Raw genomic sequence first — 18066 nt, 5'->3', positions numbered from 1 at the left:
TGAAGGTATTGGCAGGGACACACTCCCTGAAAAGCCCCAAGAAGCATTCTTCTTAACTCTGTCAACTGGCCTTCCTTGGCCTGTGGTTCCGTCACTTCAATATCTGCCTCTGTGTTCACATGCTATTCTTGTGTGTCTGTGTGTGTCCTCACCTCTTTTTATAAGGACATCAGCCATTGGATTGAGGGCCAAACTTAAATCCAGGATGATCTCATCTTGATCCTTCACTAATTATATCTTTGAAGACCCTATGTCCAAACAAGGTCACATTCTGAGGTTCTGGGTGGTCATGAATTATTGGAGGACACAATTCAGCCGACTACAGTGGGTTCAGGGGTACATTCAAACTGTGGGCAATTTTCAAGTATGCTCCAACTTTTATTTTCCACCAGGTTCTCTTGTGTTTCTTCTGTGCCTAAGGGAAAGCTACTGGTAGGCTGGAGATGTATGAAAAGGTTGAGCCCTCTCTGATCCATGCCACTTCCAGTTAGCCAGGGATATATAGGGAGCTTATCAAATGCTTCTATGACTGGTTTATTGCTTCTATGTTCCTTTTAAATTTTTAGTTGTCCGCTGGCCTGTTGCTTGCCCTTATTAGAACTACAGTCATGGCTGGTTGTGGTGGCTCATGCCTGTAACCCCAGCACTTTGGGAGGCCAAGACGGGCAGACTGCCTAAGGTCAGGAGTTCAAGACCAGCCTGGCCAGCAAGGCGAAACCCCGTCTCTACTAAAAATACAATATATATATGTGTATATATATATAGCTGGCCATGGTGGTGTGTGCCTGTAATCCCAGCTACTCGGGAGGCTGAGGCACGAGAATAGCTTGAACCCAGGAGGCAGAGGTTGCAGTGAGCCGAGATTGCATCACTGTACTCCAGCCTGGGCGACAGAACAAGAATCCTTCTCAAAAAAACAAAACCAAAACCAAAACAAACAAATAAAAAAACCCAAACTACAGTCACAGGCCCATAGAACCTCTGACCTTCCCTGTTAGCTTGCCTTTGAGATTCCTACTTATTACTGGTCATACCACAGGCGAAAGGTTTTTCTCCTTGCACTCTAAATCAAGTCAACCCCCACAGACAGCAAAGCGGCTGGTTATTTGTGGCCTGGCCTACCCTATTAGAACTGCTGTGATAAGGCGGTAGCAGATGTTGGGGATAAGAGTAGCCCCGGAAAAAATGCATGGATTCCCATTACCTAAAGTTCAGTAATTTTTCATGAATATATGCTTCTCAGTTTGTTTTAAGCCTTTAATTCTTCTCCAGAGATAAAATTTTAAGAAAGAGAGGATTTGGTGACCGCAATCCAGAAGACTGATATATTAATTTTGCCCCTCCTGTTTAATGATATCTTTTTGAGTCAGGAGAACACATTTGATATTTTTCAGTATTTTTGTTTATCTTTAGTGCCTAAAACAGTGCTACCAACTGTCAGTGAACAATAAATAATTAACTGTACAAATACTATAATTATAATCATATATAATGCTTTCTAATATTTTACATTCTAAAATATTTAAGACTGTGTTGTGGATAGACTAGCACATTCTACACACCCCCATCTCTGTTTTATGGGTGAAAATTCTGAAAGGCAACAAAGTTAAATGACTCACCAAGATACACTCACCTGTGCCATGGACCAAAACCTTCTAATTTCTGGACTACGTTCTTTCCACTGCTCCATGAAGAAATCATCAAGTCAGGATGGGGAGGTGTCACTGTATTTAAAATACAAAAATAAGTAACAAAGGAGTAAAGGCAAAGGGTGGCAGTTCTTGTTCTAGAACTCTGAAAAACAATGAAAAAACAAAATGGAGTAATATCTGGGCATACTCTCCAGCTACATGAGCATCCGATGGAAGGGCAGTCACTTCTAGGGGTTGATTTCCTGAGCCCTTTCTCAACATTTCCTTAAGTGCACTCTCTTCCTGAACTGGGAACTTAGGAAGTTATGGAGCATGATACTGCAGCAGAATGGTTTATATTACAGGAATGTAGACTCAAGCTTCTATAACAAAAACAATCAAACTTGCTTTCACCACCTGAGGAGTCCATTTATCATTAAGACAAAAGGATTTTTAAAAATATTGTATCCTAGTTTTCCCAGACTCTAACCTTTTTCAGCTCTCTCTTTCCTAGTTTAATTTTACATCAGAAATACTAAGGTATAAATGACTGAATTACCTTTTTAATAAGTCTGTTCTTTAGAATGAGTTGCATCTAGTGTAGAGTTTTTTTTTTTTTTTTTAGACGGAGTCTCACTCTCACTCCCAGGCTGGAGTTCAGTGGCGTGATCTCGGCTCGCTGCAAGCTCCGCCTCCCGGGTTCACGCCATTCTCCTGCCTCAGCCTCCCGAGTAGCTGGGAATACAGGTGCCCGCTACCACGCCCGGCTAATTTTTTTGTATTTTTAGTAGAGACGGGGTTTCACCGTGTTAGCCAGGATGGTCTCTATCTCCTGACCCCGTGATCCACCCGCCTCGGCCTCCCAAAGTGCTCTGGAATTACAGGCGTGAGCCACCGTGCCCGGCCGAGTTTTTTTTTTTTTTTTTTTTTTAGGGAAAAAATGTGGTACACACAGTGTTTCTAAATAACTGAAAAAATAGATTAAAATAATAATTCACTCATTATTTTGGGGGAGCCTTCTATGCCATTGTCCAGGGATTTGGAGAAAAAAGATGCATCAACTTCAGCTCTTATGGATTTCACAAACATGTAAAGCAGCTAATGTCTAGATTAGAGTTCTTAGAAGGCAGTCCCTAGACCAATAGCATCAGCATCACCTGAAACTTGTTAGAAATGCAAATTCTTGGTTCTTACCACAGACGTACTGAATCAGAAACAGAGGTAAAACCCAGCAATCTGTATTTTAACAAGCCCTCTAGGTGATGCTGATACACCATTAAAATTTGAAAACCACTGGTATAGCTACATCTTAGTCTATTGTAGTAAATGCAACAATAGGAAATGCGTACATAGTAGAGAGGTGAAAATTGTTAACTTTATTATTGGCAGATGTGGAAGGGTCCAGAGAGGCTCTATTTCTTTTCTTTTCTTTTTTCTTTTTAGGAAGTGACGTAAGAAATATTCATGAGACACAGGATTTTGAGTCACTCTGCAGAGAATAAGGTTTCCCAGACTTAGGGTTTAGGACGTCTGTGGGGATAGGGTGGCAGGCTTTGCAAATAACATTATAAAGACTTGGAATGATTAAAAACTATTAATTGTAAGCAGTGGTTCTAAATTTATTGGTGGGACTTTTGGGTGGATGGGGAAAACAAAGTGTTCTCAAATCCAAACAGAATTGAGTATAGCTTGGAGATGAAATAACTGCTTCATTCATGTATGTTTTAGAATATTTAAAGTCACAACTAAAAATAAAAGCATTTTAAAATGTATTAATGAGCTCACAGTAGCCTTTTATTATTAACTGCTTTATCAATAGATAGCATAGCAAGATAGAGGCATGGAATCTACAGAGATGTTTGGATTCAAACTCTAACTCCCCAACTCACTGTATGATCTTGAGTAAATTACTGAACTCTTCTAAGTCTTAATTTCTTGACCTAGAATCTAGTAATAGAAAAATTCCCACTTCACATGATTGAAAAATAACAAGATAATAAGGCATAATGCCTGCCACAGTAAGTGCTCATGTAACCTTAGGTATTATTATTTTATTACAAATCAAAGAATTTTTATAAAAACTTGGAGTATTTATTACAAATAAAAGTAATCAAATGCAATTTTATCACTAAAAATTGTCCTCAAATTAAAAGATGATCTAGATCTAGCTTGTCCAATCTGTGAGCCACAGGCTGCATGCAACTTTGAATGTGGCCCTACACAAATTTGAAAACTTTCTTCAAACATTATGAGATTTATACAAGAACTTTTTTTTTTGTTTTTAGCTCATCAGTTATTGTTTGTGTTAGTGTATTTTATATGTGACCCAAGACAATTCTTCTTCTTCCAGTGTGGACCAGGGAAGCCAAAAGATTGGACACCCCTGATCTAGATCATAATATTGTGTTTATCTAATAGAAAAACATGATTTAACAGATGTTAGTCCGAAGTCAGTTGCTTTCACTAATGTATTTCTATTTTAATTCCAGAGACCTTTCAGTTTATTTCCAAAAGGCATCATGGTTTCCCCTTCAGTCTCACCTTTTTCCTGAATGGGATGCAGGTGAACAGGTTAAGCTCCTGTTGTGAATACAAGCATCGGAAAGGTTCCAGGCTTGGAGGCAAACGAGGCTACTTTGGGTTTGTGTGTGTTGAGAGATCATCTCCTTGCTACAAGTATGGAAACAAATGTCCTTTGGTAGAGGGCAAGTTTTGCTACATTTTTCTTTGAATGCCTTTACTAATGCATTTCTCTTCACAATTATTAAGGAAATTCAGTATAGATGGGCCTACAATATCTAGGTTCAGGGTTGTTTATTGTAACATGGCGTGCTGAATTTGAAATTATAAGATATAAATCAGACTTACAGAGGTGTTATATAACGAAGATAAAAGCTAGTGCATTTTAAATTATTTCACTTTCTATCTCTCCTGTCTTCTCACTTTAAGAACTGTTTCTGAAGGGAAGGAGAGAGATATTTTTGTTTGCTTGTTGTTTTTGTTTGTGTGTCTGTTTTTCCTCATTCATCTTAGTAACTGGTTTTAGACTGAGCCTTAAAGTGTGTGCCAAGCATCTGATTTACATGACTGGACATTTTCGGTTATGCCTTTTAGAGGTTAGGTTTGCCTGCATTACTGTCTGACCCAATTTTCATTATCTCCCTTAGTTTCAATCTTGGGCATAACAAAATGCATGATAAAAGGTCAGTTTTGACTGTTATCAGCTTTCATACTGAACATTCTGTTTGAAATCAGGAGTCTTGCTTGTGGGCTTTCATATTTTCTAAAAGTATTGGCTAGATGCCAAGCTAGAACACAAGAGTGAATCAACTAAAGTATTTGTCTCTGTGGAACTTATTCTAATGGAGGAAAAGCTAATAACGTACCTACAAAGCAATTAATATATGTGAGATGGTCAGTATGATGAACACAAAACAGGGTAAGGGAGATACATGGAGTGAAGGGAGACAAGAGTCATGGGGAGTGTGTTATTTTATGCAGGATAGTTAGGAAGGGCCTCTCTGATAAGATGTCTTTTGAACAGAAACCAGAAAAAAAATTTCTTTCTTGAAATAGCTTTTGAGATAGAGGAAAAGCATATACAGAAGGCATGAAGCAGGCACGTGTTTGTTGTGTCTAAGGTAGCTTGGCCAGCACAAAAGGAATAGAACCATGAAATTGGAGATGGGGTCGCAGAGACCATGAGGCTAAGCCATGTAGAGTCCTATGGTCATTGCAAGGACTTTAACTTTTATCTGAGAAGGATGGGAAGCTTCTAAAGCGGGTTTTGAGCAATGACTTGTCATGATTTAATAGTAACTCTTATGGGAAAAATAAACAAGGGTGTGTGGGGAAAATATCAGAAACTGCTTTAATCCAGAGAAGAGATAATGGTGGAATGAGTTAGAAGTAATTTTAAAGGTAGAGCTTACAGAATTTACTGATGAATTGGATGCAGGGAATGAGATAAAGAGCAGAGCCAAAGACGATTCAAAATTTTTGTCTTGAATAACTGGAAAGATGTCCAGTTAACTTATTGAGACTGTGGAAGAAGCAGGTTTTTGGGGTGGAATGAAGTGGTTTTGGTCGAGGACACATTGAGTCTGAGACATGTATGAGATAAGCAAGTAGAAATGCTGAGTAGGCAGTTGGATATATGAATCTGGGGTGAGGTGAGAGGTCCAGGCTGGAGATGCAAATCTGAGAATGGTTTGCATATAGATGACATGTATAAGTTTGCTTAAGAATTGAACATAGAGAAGATGTCTGAGTGATGAGTGTCACTCCATTTAAAAGGTGAGGGAGGTAAACAGGAACTAGCCTAAGAAGGAAAGGCAGTGAATAGAAAGAGAACCTAGAGAGAGTAGTATCTTGGAAATAAAGAAAATGGTTAAGGAATAAGGGCATGATTAAGGGAGTTGAATGTGTGGATATGTGAAGTAAAATGAAGACTGAGGATTGGACATTGATTTGGTACTGTGTTGGTTACTGGTGATCATGGCACGAGTTATAGTGCAGCAGTTGGGGTGTAAGCTTTCTTGGAGTGGGTTTAAAAAATAGTTGGAGAAAAACAAAGGCTGGAGACTATAGAGAAGTTTTTAAAAGAGTTTTGCTATAAAGAATGGTAATTAGGTGGTAGCCAGGAGGAAGAATGTAGTGGTTCAAGGAAGCCTCTTTATTTTTTAAGATGGGAGATACTATAATATGTTTATATGCTAATACAAACGATTGAATACTTTAGAGAATAAGAAACATGAAGTATGACATAAAGGGTGGAAATTTCTGGAGCTAAATGATTGGGTAGACTGGAGAAGATGAGATGTAGGACTCAATTGGGGGTATAAGCCTTAAGAAGAGGAGGAACATTCTTGTATGGTAACGGGAGGAAAGAAAGAAGGCATACAAGATAGAGATGTGAGTTGCTATTAATAGATGTGCTGGGAACAACTGGAAGCTCTCTGCTGATTGTTTCTATTTTCTTAAACAATACATAAATTTATCAACTGAGGATAAGGCTGAGAGAAGAGGCATTGGGTGTTTTCAGAGAGATAAGAGTGTAAAAGAATCATCCAGAGAATGGAAGACTGAATGGCCTAGGGCAAGATAGTATCAATGCCCAGCTGTACTTAGGGGCCACCTGAACTGCCTTCCTATTCCAACTCAAATATGCTGTCTCCTGATTTGAGAGCAGGTCATTTAACACAATTCTATTTAATTCCCAGAAAAGCTAATAAACATCTACAATCAGCCATGTGCAAATATATTGCATTCTTTGGGAGTTGTGGTATAAATCCAAGCTGTAAATTATTAGCCCTGAGCACTTTCTGTGGAAGTTTAATAATCAGTACCAAAATCTGACTGATGGCATTTACTCTCCTATTCAACACCCACTAGCCTCTGTACAATTATTTCTATGATTTCAACACTTGGTACCCTCTAGATTCTTTCTTCAACCTTTTCAAATAATAATATCAAAATGGTTACAATATTAAAGAATAAGGCCTATGACTCTCAACTAAAATGCACAGTTCTTATAGAAGAATGGTTTTCAATTTTTTTTTGTTAACTTCATAACCATTTTTCCAATGAAATCTGTGAATGCCCAGAATAGAACAGTGCATTGTCATTGGATGTCTCCCTGTTGCAGGTCAGGTAAAAGTTGAGTCAGACTGGTTTAAATGGTACAGGGTTAGGTGAGTAAGTGCTAGAGCCTTGTTTGTTTGTCCTCTTCCTCACTTGAGACTTTTCTGGTTATTCTAGAGACCATAACACTGCAGAACTCCATGGAGAGTTGAGAACTACCCCAAAGGTTATTACCTTCTGTAACCTTGGCTTTGTTGTCACTCCCATAATGATACTTTTAGTTATGTTAAACAATGTACACTAATTCCTCCAATACATTCAAAATGAAATTAATTTTAATTTATTTAAAAAATACCAGTCCCAGAAACATTTGTGATGAGAAAAAGGAGGGCATGGTACAATAAAACAACAGAGAATTATATTTCTAAATGATTAGGAATTACCTGTTTAAGGTCCTCAGAAAACAAGAAAAGCTGAGCAGTGGTCACTTCCAAAGTGTAAGGTTCCACAACTGTACTCATCTCTCAATTATAGGAACTGTTTGAAGAGGCGTAGTAATTTTCAATTGCTAGCATGAAACTTGGGAAGAATTGCCTAACCATGTAGAATGCAGACTGCTTTGAGCTTTAGTAATCATAATCAACACCTCAAATTATATTCAGAAGTCAAATAGGTAGTCAGTGACGAGGAGAGCACAGATGTTACTCACTTTGTTTGTCCAATTCCCTTCAGCAGATGGGCAATAAAAAGTCTGTGCATGCAGTAGGGAGGCATCAAAGCCTTTACGCAGCCACAACATAAACTAAAAGTAACAACATATCAGAGGCTCCAAATCAATGGATTTGGTGTTGCAATTGATAAGGGAAGAACAGCTTGAACAGAAGGCAATGCTAGTAATCACATTTTGTGAAGATTCATGACACCTTTACTCCAAGGAAAGCAATGTGCTAAGCACATCATCATTATAGTCAAGAAATATTTATCATGCTTAATATGGGTGAGATAAGTATAATCTCATTATCTCATTTTTTACAGCCTGATAGTTACTTTGAGTGCAAATCCTTCTAGCTTTATTTTGTGGGGAGATATTGAAAAGTTAAGTGATATAACTCAGTTCTCATATTTGCTTGTTGGGAAAATTTATTAAGATCAATTCCTTTGCTATTTCTACGCTGCAGATGGCTGAAATTTAGTGAAATCTTCAGTTTAAGTAATTGCCATTGGATTTGTTCAGGTTGAGGCATTTTTGAGATTTTACATATTATTTCTATTCTTCTGGGACTAGCAAGTCTTGACTGCTTTCTGATCCCTTTCACCTGCCCACTATAAATTCAGTTCTCTGGTAGTTGTATCACATGCAGAGAGGGGAACGTGAGTAGTTCTAGAGAAAGAAGACTGAAGAGACTGATAACTACCAGAAACATTTTTCAGATCATGGATTTTATCCAGGTCTTGCCAGAAACTTCTCCAGATTGTATTAGTGTCTGCTGAGAGAGTGTGAGTCCTTTCTTTGGTGATAAGCTCAAAGTGTAACATTTATGTAACTAGTCATCTCTACTAGTTAAATCATAACTAGGAACTGGAGGCCTACACCTGTAATAGACTAATATGGTTGTGCTTCAGTATGATGTGATGGAGCCTAGCAGTCTTGAGCTAGAATCCAGCTCCATCACCCACGTACTGGGTGACTTTGAGCTGCTAGAACCTTTTAAGCCTCGATTTTCTCATTTGTAAAGTGGTGATGATAGTTCTTAATTTATTGGTCTATGAGGTAATGAATTCCTTAAGATAATGGATACAGAGTACCCAGAAAAGAGCTTGGCACAGAGAGAGTGCTCAATAATCTTATCATTATCATAATCATCATTTTTATTAATGTATATATTATTATCATTGGAATTCTTATTTTAATATCAACTTAAGAAATAGAAAGCTATAGAAGACAATTTATTCATATTACTTTTGTTATAATTGATTTAAAAAGTTTTAATGTCATAATGCATTCAGATTATCTGCATGGTTCACCAGATTTGACTTGGAATGACTTCATAACCTCTATAAATTACTGCCATTTTTGAGGAATAAGAACTTATTACCAGCAAAAATCACCAGAAGACTGTAGTGCAGACTTCAAAAGGCCATTCTAAAAGCAATAATGACAGTTCTATGAAAATAAGTGAACAAACTCCTGAGTTATTCACTTAAAAGATGCAGCAACATTTGACTGTATATATTTCTTTAAAAAATCAATCATATTTATTTAGAGCCAATCTTGTAAGTCTTTTGTTACTGTTGTTGTGTTGTTAAAATATAACTTATCAGACTGAATGGCATCTTGCTTCTTCTGACCATTTTTATATCAGCTTCTCTATGTTTGTAAATCTGCATGTTCTATTATCACAAAATTCTCATTTAAGGACTTGAGATATGTCTTTATGTATGAAAAATTATATACCCACCTATATTTCTGTATCTATGATATGTGTTACTGTTCAGGACCAAAAATATACTTGAAGACACAGATTTTAGTTTGAAACTATAGTTCTTGGTTGACGAGTTATTTTATTTTGTTTATTATTGTGGATAACGTTATTAAGAATTTGTTGTTTGTTTACAAGATTTTAGTATCAAAAAAGAATAGTTTATTTTTAATTAGCTTTTTTAATTGTTTATTTTTATTAGTGTGTACTGTAATCAAAACATTTTTGTGTCTTTTTTTACTGGAATAAGAGATAAGTGCTTTCAAAAGCTTTGAGGTTCCATTGTGCTGTCTACAAGGGTTAACAAACACTTCCTGCTAATATTTTTCATAGGTGCATTATTGCAATGGGCCTTGACAAAAAACCGTCTTTGCCGAAATCTAGGAAAGAAAAGAGCACTGAGAAAGGAGAGGAACTGAAGAAGGCTGAGGGGAAAGTGAGGAAAGAGAGAGAGTATGTGATACCAAAAAGAAATGAGATCAAGGAGAACAAAACCTCTGTTTCAGCCAAATTTTCAGCTCAAGAAATAAAAACAGGGCTCAAAGAAGTGGTAACTGCTGTGGAGGAAATGACAAGTAAAGGAAAACCAGGACAAGAAGTCTTGGAAGACGACCAGGAAAATACTTTAAAATATGGTAATCAACAACACAAGTTTCTTTTGTTGTAGCTGTGGCTGTTTCGTTTGTCTTTGAAATGTGATGATCAAAATTTTCAAAAATACCCATTAAATGTTACCCAGCTGTGTTACATGTGGGGTGCCCCTGACCTCCTTCCTTTGCTGTTTTGTATGGAGTCCTGTGTCACCTACCTTAGAGGAAGGCAGACCTAGCCCCAGAAAGGTTAAAGGTTCTGGCTGCAGAGATGAGGAGAGAGAATGAGTACATGTCAATGTGAGTTAGAGACTCTATTGACTTCTGCAGAGACCATTTTCACCAAATAGAATTTTACCTATTTTAAAAGTTTTTGAATGTACTGTTTTTCATGAAATTGATGAATTGCTTTGACATCAGGTAGGTACAACCTATATGATTATATGGTGATAGAGTATGCCATAACTAAAGGCAGTTGACTATAGGCTTAGGGTTGTGGAACCTATCTGTCTGCTTTTTTTCTTTTGCTTTCTTCTTTTTTCTCTGTTCTCTCCTTCCTCTCTCCTGCCTTCCACTGCTTCTCTGTCTCCCTCTCTCCATACACATACACCCACCCACCCACCCACACACACACACAGACACACGCGCATTCATATATATACATACACACATATATATGCAGGCACATCTCATTTTATTGTGCTCACTTTATTGTGCAAGCTTTGCAAATATAGCACTTTTTATAAATTAAAAGTTTGTGGCAACCCTGCACCAAAGTCTATCAGCATCATTTTTCCAACAGCATGTGCTCACTTCATCTCTGTTTCAAATTTTCTCAATATTTCTAACTTTTTCATTATTATGATATCTGTCATGGTGATCTGTGATCAGTGATCTGTGTTGTTACTATTGCAATTGTTTTGGGGTGCCATGAGCTGTACCATGTAAGAAAGTGAAGTTAATCAATTTTCTGACTGCTCCACTGACCAGCTGTTCTCCAGTCTCTCTCCCTCTGCTTGGTCTTCTCTGTTCCCTAACCCACAACAGTATTGAAATTAGGTTAATTAATAACCCTACATAATACACTCTAAATGTTCAAGTGAAAGGAAGAGTCTCATGTTTTTCACTTTAAATAAAAAAAAAACGATTAGGCTTAGTGAGGAAGGCATATCAAAAGCCAAGACAGGCTAAAAGCTAGGCCACTTGTGCCAAGCAGTTAGCCAAGTTGTGAATGCAAAAGAAAAGTTCCTGAAGGAAGTTAAGAGTGCTACTTCAAGTGAACATGTGCATGATAAAAAAGAAATCGTTATTGCTGATATATAGAGTATTTTAGCGGTCTCAATAGAAGATCTAACTAGCCACAACATTCTCATAAGCCAAAGCTTAAGTCAGAGCAAGGCCCTAATTCTCTTCAATTCTATGAAGGCTGAGAGAGGTGAAGAAGGTGCAGGAGAAAAGTATGAAGCTAGCAGAGGTTGGTTCGTGAGGGTTAAAGAAAGAAGTCATTTCCATAGCATGAAATTGCAAGGTGAAGTAGCAAGTGCTTATGTAGGAGCTGCTGCAATTTTATCCAGAAGACCTAGCGAAGATCATTTATAAATGTAGCTACATTAAACAGCAGGTCTTCAGTGTAGATGAAAAAGCCTTACATTGGAAAAAGATGCCATCTAGGACATTCATAGCTAGAAAGGAGAAGTCAACACCTGACTTCAAAGCTTCAAAGGATAGGCTGACTCTTCTTTTATGGGTTAATGCAGCTGGTGAGTTCATGATGAAGCCAATGCTCATTTAGCATTCAAAAAATCCTAGGGCCCTTAAGCCTTATGCTAAATTTTATCTGCTTCTGCTCTATAAATGAAACAAACAAAGCCTGGATGACAGCACATCTATTTACAGCATGGTTTGCAGAGTATTTTCAGCCCACTGTTGAGACCTACTGCTCAGGGAAAAAGATTTCTTTCAACATCTTACCACTCATTGACAATGTACCTGGTCACTCAAGAACTTTGATGAAGATGTGCAGTGCGATAATGTTGTTTTCACGCCTGCTAACACAACATCCATTCTGTTGTTATCCTTATGGATCAAGGAGTAATTTTAGATCTTATTCTTTAAGGAATATATTTTGTAAGGCTATAGCTGCCATATATAGTGATTCCTCTGATGGATCAGGGCAAATTCAATTGGGAACTTTCTGGAAAGGATTCACAATTCTAGATGCCATTAAGAACATTCATGATTCATGGAAGGAGGTAAAAATATCAACATGAACAGGAGTTTGAAAGAAGGTGATTTTATTCCTCACAGGTGGCTTTGAGGAGTTCAAGCCTTTGGTGGAGGAAGTAATTGCAGATGTGGTAGAAATAGCAAGAGAATTAGAAGTGGGGCCTAAGATGAGATTGAATTTTTGCAATCTCATTATAAAACTTGAATAGATAAGGAGTTGCTTCTTAGGGATGAACAGAGAAAGAAGTTTCCTGAGATGAAATCTACTCTTGCTGAAGATGCCATGAACATTGTTGAAATGACAACAAAGAATTTAGAATATGTATAAAATGTATTAGTTGATAAAGGAGTGGCAGGATTTGAGAGGATTGAGCCCAATTTTAAAAGAGGTTTTACTGTGTGTAAATGCTGTTAAACAGCATTGCATGCTACAGATAAATCTTCGTGAAAGGAAGAGTCAATAGATGTGGCAAACTTTATTGTTGTCTTATTTTAAGAAATTTCCATAGCCACCCCAGCCATCAGCAACCACCACCCCGATCAGTCAGGAGCCACTAACATCAAGGGAATATCCTCCACCAGCAAAAAGACGATGACCAGTTAAGGCTCAGATGATTGTTAGCATCTTTTATCAATAAAGTGATTTTAGTTAAGGTGTATACATTGGGTTTTTAGATATAATGCTATTGTATATTCAACAGACAGCAGCATAGTAGAAACATAATTTTGGATGCACTGGGAAACCAAAAAATTTATATCACTATCTTTATTGCAATGGCCTGGAACTGAACCTGCAATATCCCTGAGGTATACCTGTATATCGAATATATATATAGGTATACATTCACAGATCTAGGTATGCTTGTATATACTTACATGTGTATATAGGTATGCCTGTATATGCTTATACCTAAAGCAGCAATAACAACAATAATGAAAGTGCCAAGCACTGAGCACCAAACTAGGCACTGTGCACACACTGTCTCATTTTATCCTCACCATTCAACATGATAGGTATTATTACTACTTCAATTTTACAGGCTGGGAAATTGAGGCTTAGATACACAAAAAGAAAGTAGCAGAATAAGAATTTGCACCCAGGTTTGTCTAATTCCAAAGCTCAATCTTTCAAACACTATACAACCTTCTATTCTGTACAAGTTAGCCTACCCACTAAATGGTTGTGGATAGTGTGTCCAAAGTATCAGAAAGGGAGAGCTGCTTTGTGTCCCTCATACTCAAGAGACAAAGCTTGGATAGGGGGCACAATAACCATGGGTTGGGGTACCTGTGGAAGGGCTGGCTTCGGGAAAGGGACAACTTCTAGGTATCTTCTTCCCCACCTCATATTTTTGCTGCCCAAGTGTTTCAGAAATCCAAGAGAATAATTACAGGGCTGTTATAGCACTAGACTTCATGTTTGATTATTACTGACTAAAGTGAATCTTTTACAAAAGATTTCACTTAGAGCACTTTTACCAGCTCACCATTCTTCACAATCTCTTCTAGTCTTTGTCTTATCTTGGGATGAGAATTTTAATATATCTGCAGCAATAGTAATCACAGAGGTATGAACAAATAGGATGTGTTTTCATGTGTTTTAACTTTGAAGCATGGTGGTTTATGAAAGTCATGTTCAATGAAAGCTTTTCATTTTCTTTTTTTTTCTTAAACCAACATAACTAGTGCTATGAGTGATGTACTTTATACTCATGATACCTATGATAAAGCTTTTCCTGAATTCTTTCTTCTGTGTTGGCTAGTTAATGGACTTTAAATGTCCATTTCCTTTTTTAAAAATGCAGCCACAGCCGCAAGGGTTTAGCTCTCTGCATAATAGTCGCTGATGTAAGGACAGCAAGAAGTTTGAATCAAGGTCAGCAAGAGAAGGTTGTGGCTAGATTGATGTTGACCCCGTGTTGACTCACGTCCTCATTAGTGGGGATGGTAAACAACAAGCTAATTAAATTCTCTAGAAGAAGGCAAATGGGATGGGAGAACAGAAGAAATTATGTAAAAGATTTTAGAAAGCATGTCGCTGGCTTATTCGTATCAAAAACATGAGTAGATGACACAAAGGTGGTGTGCTTTGAGCTATAATGACAGTTTGGAAGGTTTGTGGTTAACAGAAAGCTAATACTTAAATGTGATGATAGCAGGGATAGAATAAAGCCAGGGCAGCCTTGACTTTCATATTTGAGAGAAAACACAAAATACGATGCTGGGACTGTTCTTGTGGTTCACTTCGTGTTCCTTCACTTTTGTGCTGTGCCTCAATTATATAACTGTAATTGTGTCCTAATTGTGGACACTTGTACTGCTCTGATTTTAATCAGGTGCCTCCACTAAAGTGTGTTGCTGTCAAAGGAGTACATATCGTGTGTGATTTCTCCTGTTCTATAATCTACTCCCTTCACTACCCAATCACAAGGACGATTACTACTAATCCATAATATTTATTATGCCCCTGATATTCATGGCACTGTGCTAAGCATGTTCCAGGGATTATTGTTCTCAATACTCACCATAGCGTTGTATTACCCATGTTACAGATGGAGAAACTGAAGCTTAAAGACAAATTGCCCACGGTCACATAGTCAGTAAGTGTTTTAACTGGGTCTTGGGCACATGAATGCCTGATTCCCAAACCTTGACATTTCACTACTATGTAACACTATGGATGGAATTGCAGCAATCCACTCATATTCTCTCTGGCCCTCTGCTTATCTTATGGTCAGTAGCAAACTCCTGTAGTGTGATATATGTATGTGTATTCTGTAGCTAACCTTACCTTCCTCTTTTGGGAAGTCTTCCATGAGTCCCTAAAATGACTTTCCATCCTCCTTTCATTACATTCTGCTTACTTGACACTACTTCACATAATTAATTATATGTCCTATCTAAAAATCTATAGCAACCCAGCCCCATTGTGTTGAAAAACATTACTGAGGATCACATATTAAAAACTACTACAAAGTGAGTACAGTATTTCTTGTGTACCTACATCTTCTTTCCTCAATAAAAATTGGAGAGTCTTTCATGGCCGGGATTGTCTTATTGTAATGTCTTCTGTCTTGCAATTTTATCCTCTTAATCATAGAAGATTCTCAAAAAATAGGCTTATTGATTGATAGTTAACAGGGTCAGGTGAGGAATTATCCTATAACTTGGCCGGCAATACTTGGATCAAAATATTTACTCGTTTTTATTAGTAGTTTCTGTTTGTGTCTAGCAACATAAAGCAAATTCTTCATCTTCTTGCTTATTTTACAATTTTGGTTTACTGATATTCATATTTTATATTTAAATGTATTAAATTTCTTTTGTGGAAACATTTTTGTGATTATCTAATTTTCTTTGTTATAGGTTTTGATTTCACTTTTCCCCTTACATCTCCCTCATCCTCTGTATTTACAGAGCTTTCTGCATATGCACAGGGTATACATTTCTAGATTAAGTTTCTTTCACTGGGTGGACAGCTCTCAAGTAAATTACCCGAGAGGCCCCCCTCCCCCACAGAGAAGCCAGAATAGCTAATAACTAAAACACACAAAATTGAGAAACATTTATTCTCTCGGTAATTTTTACTTTAAGGATAATTGTTTATTTGCTTAATTGGTTCTGCATGAGATCCTTTTGCTCTCTATCCTTGGCATGTTGTCACTTCAAGATTTTTAGTTTTTGGTGGAAGAAAAAGGGGAACAGTTAAATATGAAAGGTGAAAAATTATAACCACGAGGGACAGCTGGAGTTTATCTGATGTGACAATTTCCTTTTCCTGCTACAGATTTATAGCACCTCTGCAGGGAATAAAGCAAATATGTGGCTGTGACAGGAATATTCTATTTTGTGTAAATTTTTATCATTGAAATGTAATTATTTCATTTATTGTAGGAATGAATAATGCATATGATTTCATTTCTGGCCTACATATAGAATCCTTCATAATGCCTTTTCTTGATGTCCATTTGTTTCTTAAATAATGTGCTATTCACAGTGTTACTTCTCAGGGCTCTTGGACTTGATTAATTGAATTTTTCCACTTCACTATTCATTAAGTTGATATCCAAATATTTTGAACATTTTTCATATGAAATATGACCTCACTGGATCTCCAAATTAACTTTCATTATTATAATCCTGTTCTCTTCATTTTTAATTTATTTCTAATTTATTGTTTTATATCAAGTTCTTCTCTTTCCATTTTGGTTATTTTAGATGATGATGTTCATTTGTAAATGAACTTTTATTAGGTTTCAGCCTTGTCATTTGGAGCTTCATTTCTTTTGTGCTCTTGTGTATGTAACTGATTGGAATCTTTGATCATTTGCTGTTAGTTTTCCATGTTCACTAATTGAACGAAAAAGAAGAAGCAAAGAAAGGCTCAGAGAAGAGAGGATAATGGAGTCAAAGTTCTCATTAGAGAGAAATAGGTTAAGTATAAGGGGTTCTATTTTCATTCTTATAGTGGAGATTTTCCTATTTCAGAGTATGAAGAAGACTTTGAAGTAGATGAGGAGAAACAAGGTGAAAAATCTAATGAAGAAGGACAGGCTGATGTTCAAATGAATGGAATACCGCAGTCACCTTTGGATGATAAAAAAGATAATTTAGACCCTGAAAAAGAGAGTGAAACCTCATCACAGAAGGCACCAGATGCCCGTGACAATGTGAAAGATGAGAATGATGGATGCTCTGAGAGTGAACTGGAAGAGGATAAACAAGGCGAGTTGTTCAGCTTATCATGTAACATAGGCTGTTTACTGAGTGTGTTTACTACTTTTCTTTGTTTTCTATTTAATGAGATAATCCTCTTTTTTTTCTCTTGAATGTATGTTTTCTAACTTTTAAATAAGGGGTACATGTGAAGGTTTGTTACACAGATAAACTTATGTCATGGGGGTTCGTCGTACACGTTATTTCATCACCCAGGTATTAAACCTAGCACATTATTTATTTTTCCTGATCCTCTTTCTCCTCCCATGCTCCACCCTTCAATAGGCCCCAGTGTTTGTTGTTCCCCACTATGTGTCCATGTGTTCTCATCATTTAGCTCCCACTCATGACAGTATGAGGTAATTTGTTACCTTCACACTTTATTAATGCAGCTTCAAAAACCTAATGAAAGAGGAACATAAAACAAATGTCTCTGTAACTATTTTAGAATGTAAAGGAATCTTAAAAAGGACATTTACGACTATAGCCATATCCTATCAGTGTTCCAATTACATTGAAAATGTAACAAATTGTTTGGAAGGAAAAAGTTAAAAATTCTCCATTTCCACAGTTCAGTGTATCTTTCCATTACATAAACTTACATACAAATATTTATGTAATTTTTTACAAATATGTAAGCATATAATTCATGTTACTCTTGAAATTATTTTTTTCAGTTTAACTGTGCACATATTAAGTATCCTAAAAAGTCAATACGTGTATGAATAACTTATTATTGCTAATAGCAATATGAAAGTTTATGGTATGCCAATTTATTGTTTTGTGTACTGATATTTCTGTATCTTTAGGCTAGATTTCCTTAAGTATTTGCTTATGTTT

The 18066-nt window shown here is 36.8% G+C and overlaps 1 protein-coding gene and 1 long non-coding RNA gene across 4 annotated transcripts in view; one reads left to right on the top strand and one right to left on the bottom strand.

The window, feature by feature from the left end:
* Positions 1-18066, top strand: part of ERICH3 (glutamate rich 3) — a 106221-nt gene that overhangs the window by 57414 nt on the left and 30741 nt on the right. For both annotated transcript variants that reach the window (NM_001002912.5, XM_017000275.2), the window contains exons 9-11: positions 4121-4307; positions 10028-10329; positions 16999-17235. In NM_001002912.5, coding sequence (NP_001002912.4) covers positions 4121-4307; positions 10028-10329; positions 16999-17235 — 726 coding nt within the window. The remainder of the gene's footprint in view (positions 1-4120; positions 4308-10027; positions 10330-16998; positions 17236-18066) is intronic.
* The window catches only part of ERICH3-AS1 (ERICH3 antisense RNA 1), a 48669-nt gene that overhangs the window by 9169 nt on the left and 21434 nt on the right, over positions 1-18066 (bottom strand). For both annotated transcript variants that reach the window (NR_121671.1, NR_121670.1), the window contains exon 2: positions 1634-1724. This is a non-coding gene — a long non-coding RNA (ERICH3 antisense RNA 1). The remainder of the gene's footprint in view (positions 1-1633; positions 1725-18066) is intronic.

The sequence above is a fragment of the Homo sapiens genome, chromosome 1 (assembly GCF_000001405.40).
Source record: "Homo sapiens chromosome 1, GRCh38.p14 Primary Assembly".
Lineage (NCBI taxonomy): Eukaryota > Metazoa > Chordata > Mammalia > Primates > Hominidae > Homo > Homo sapiens.
This window is presented reverse-complemented; position numbering and strand designations above follow the sequence as displayed.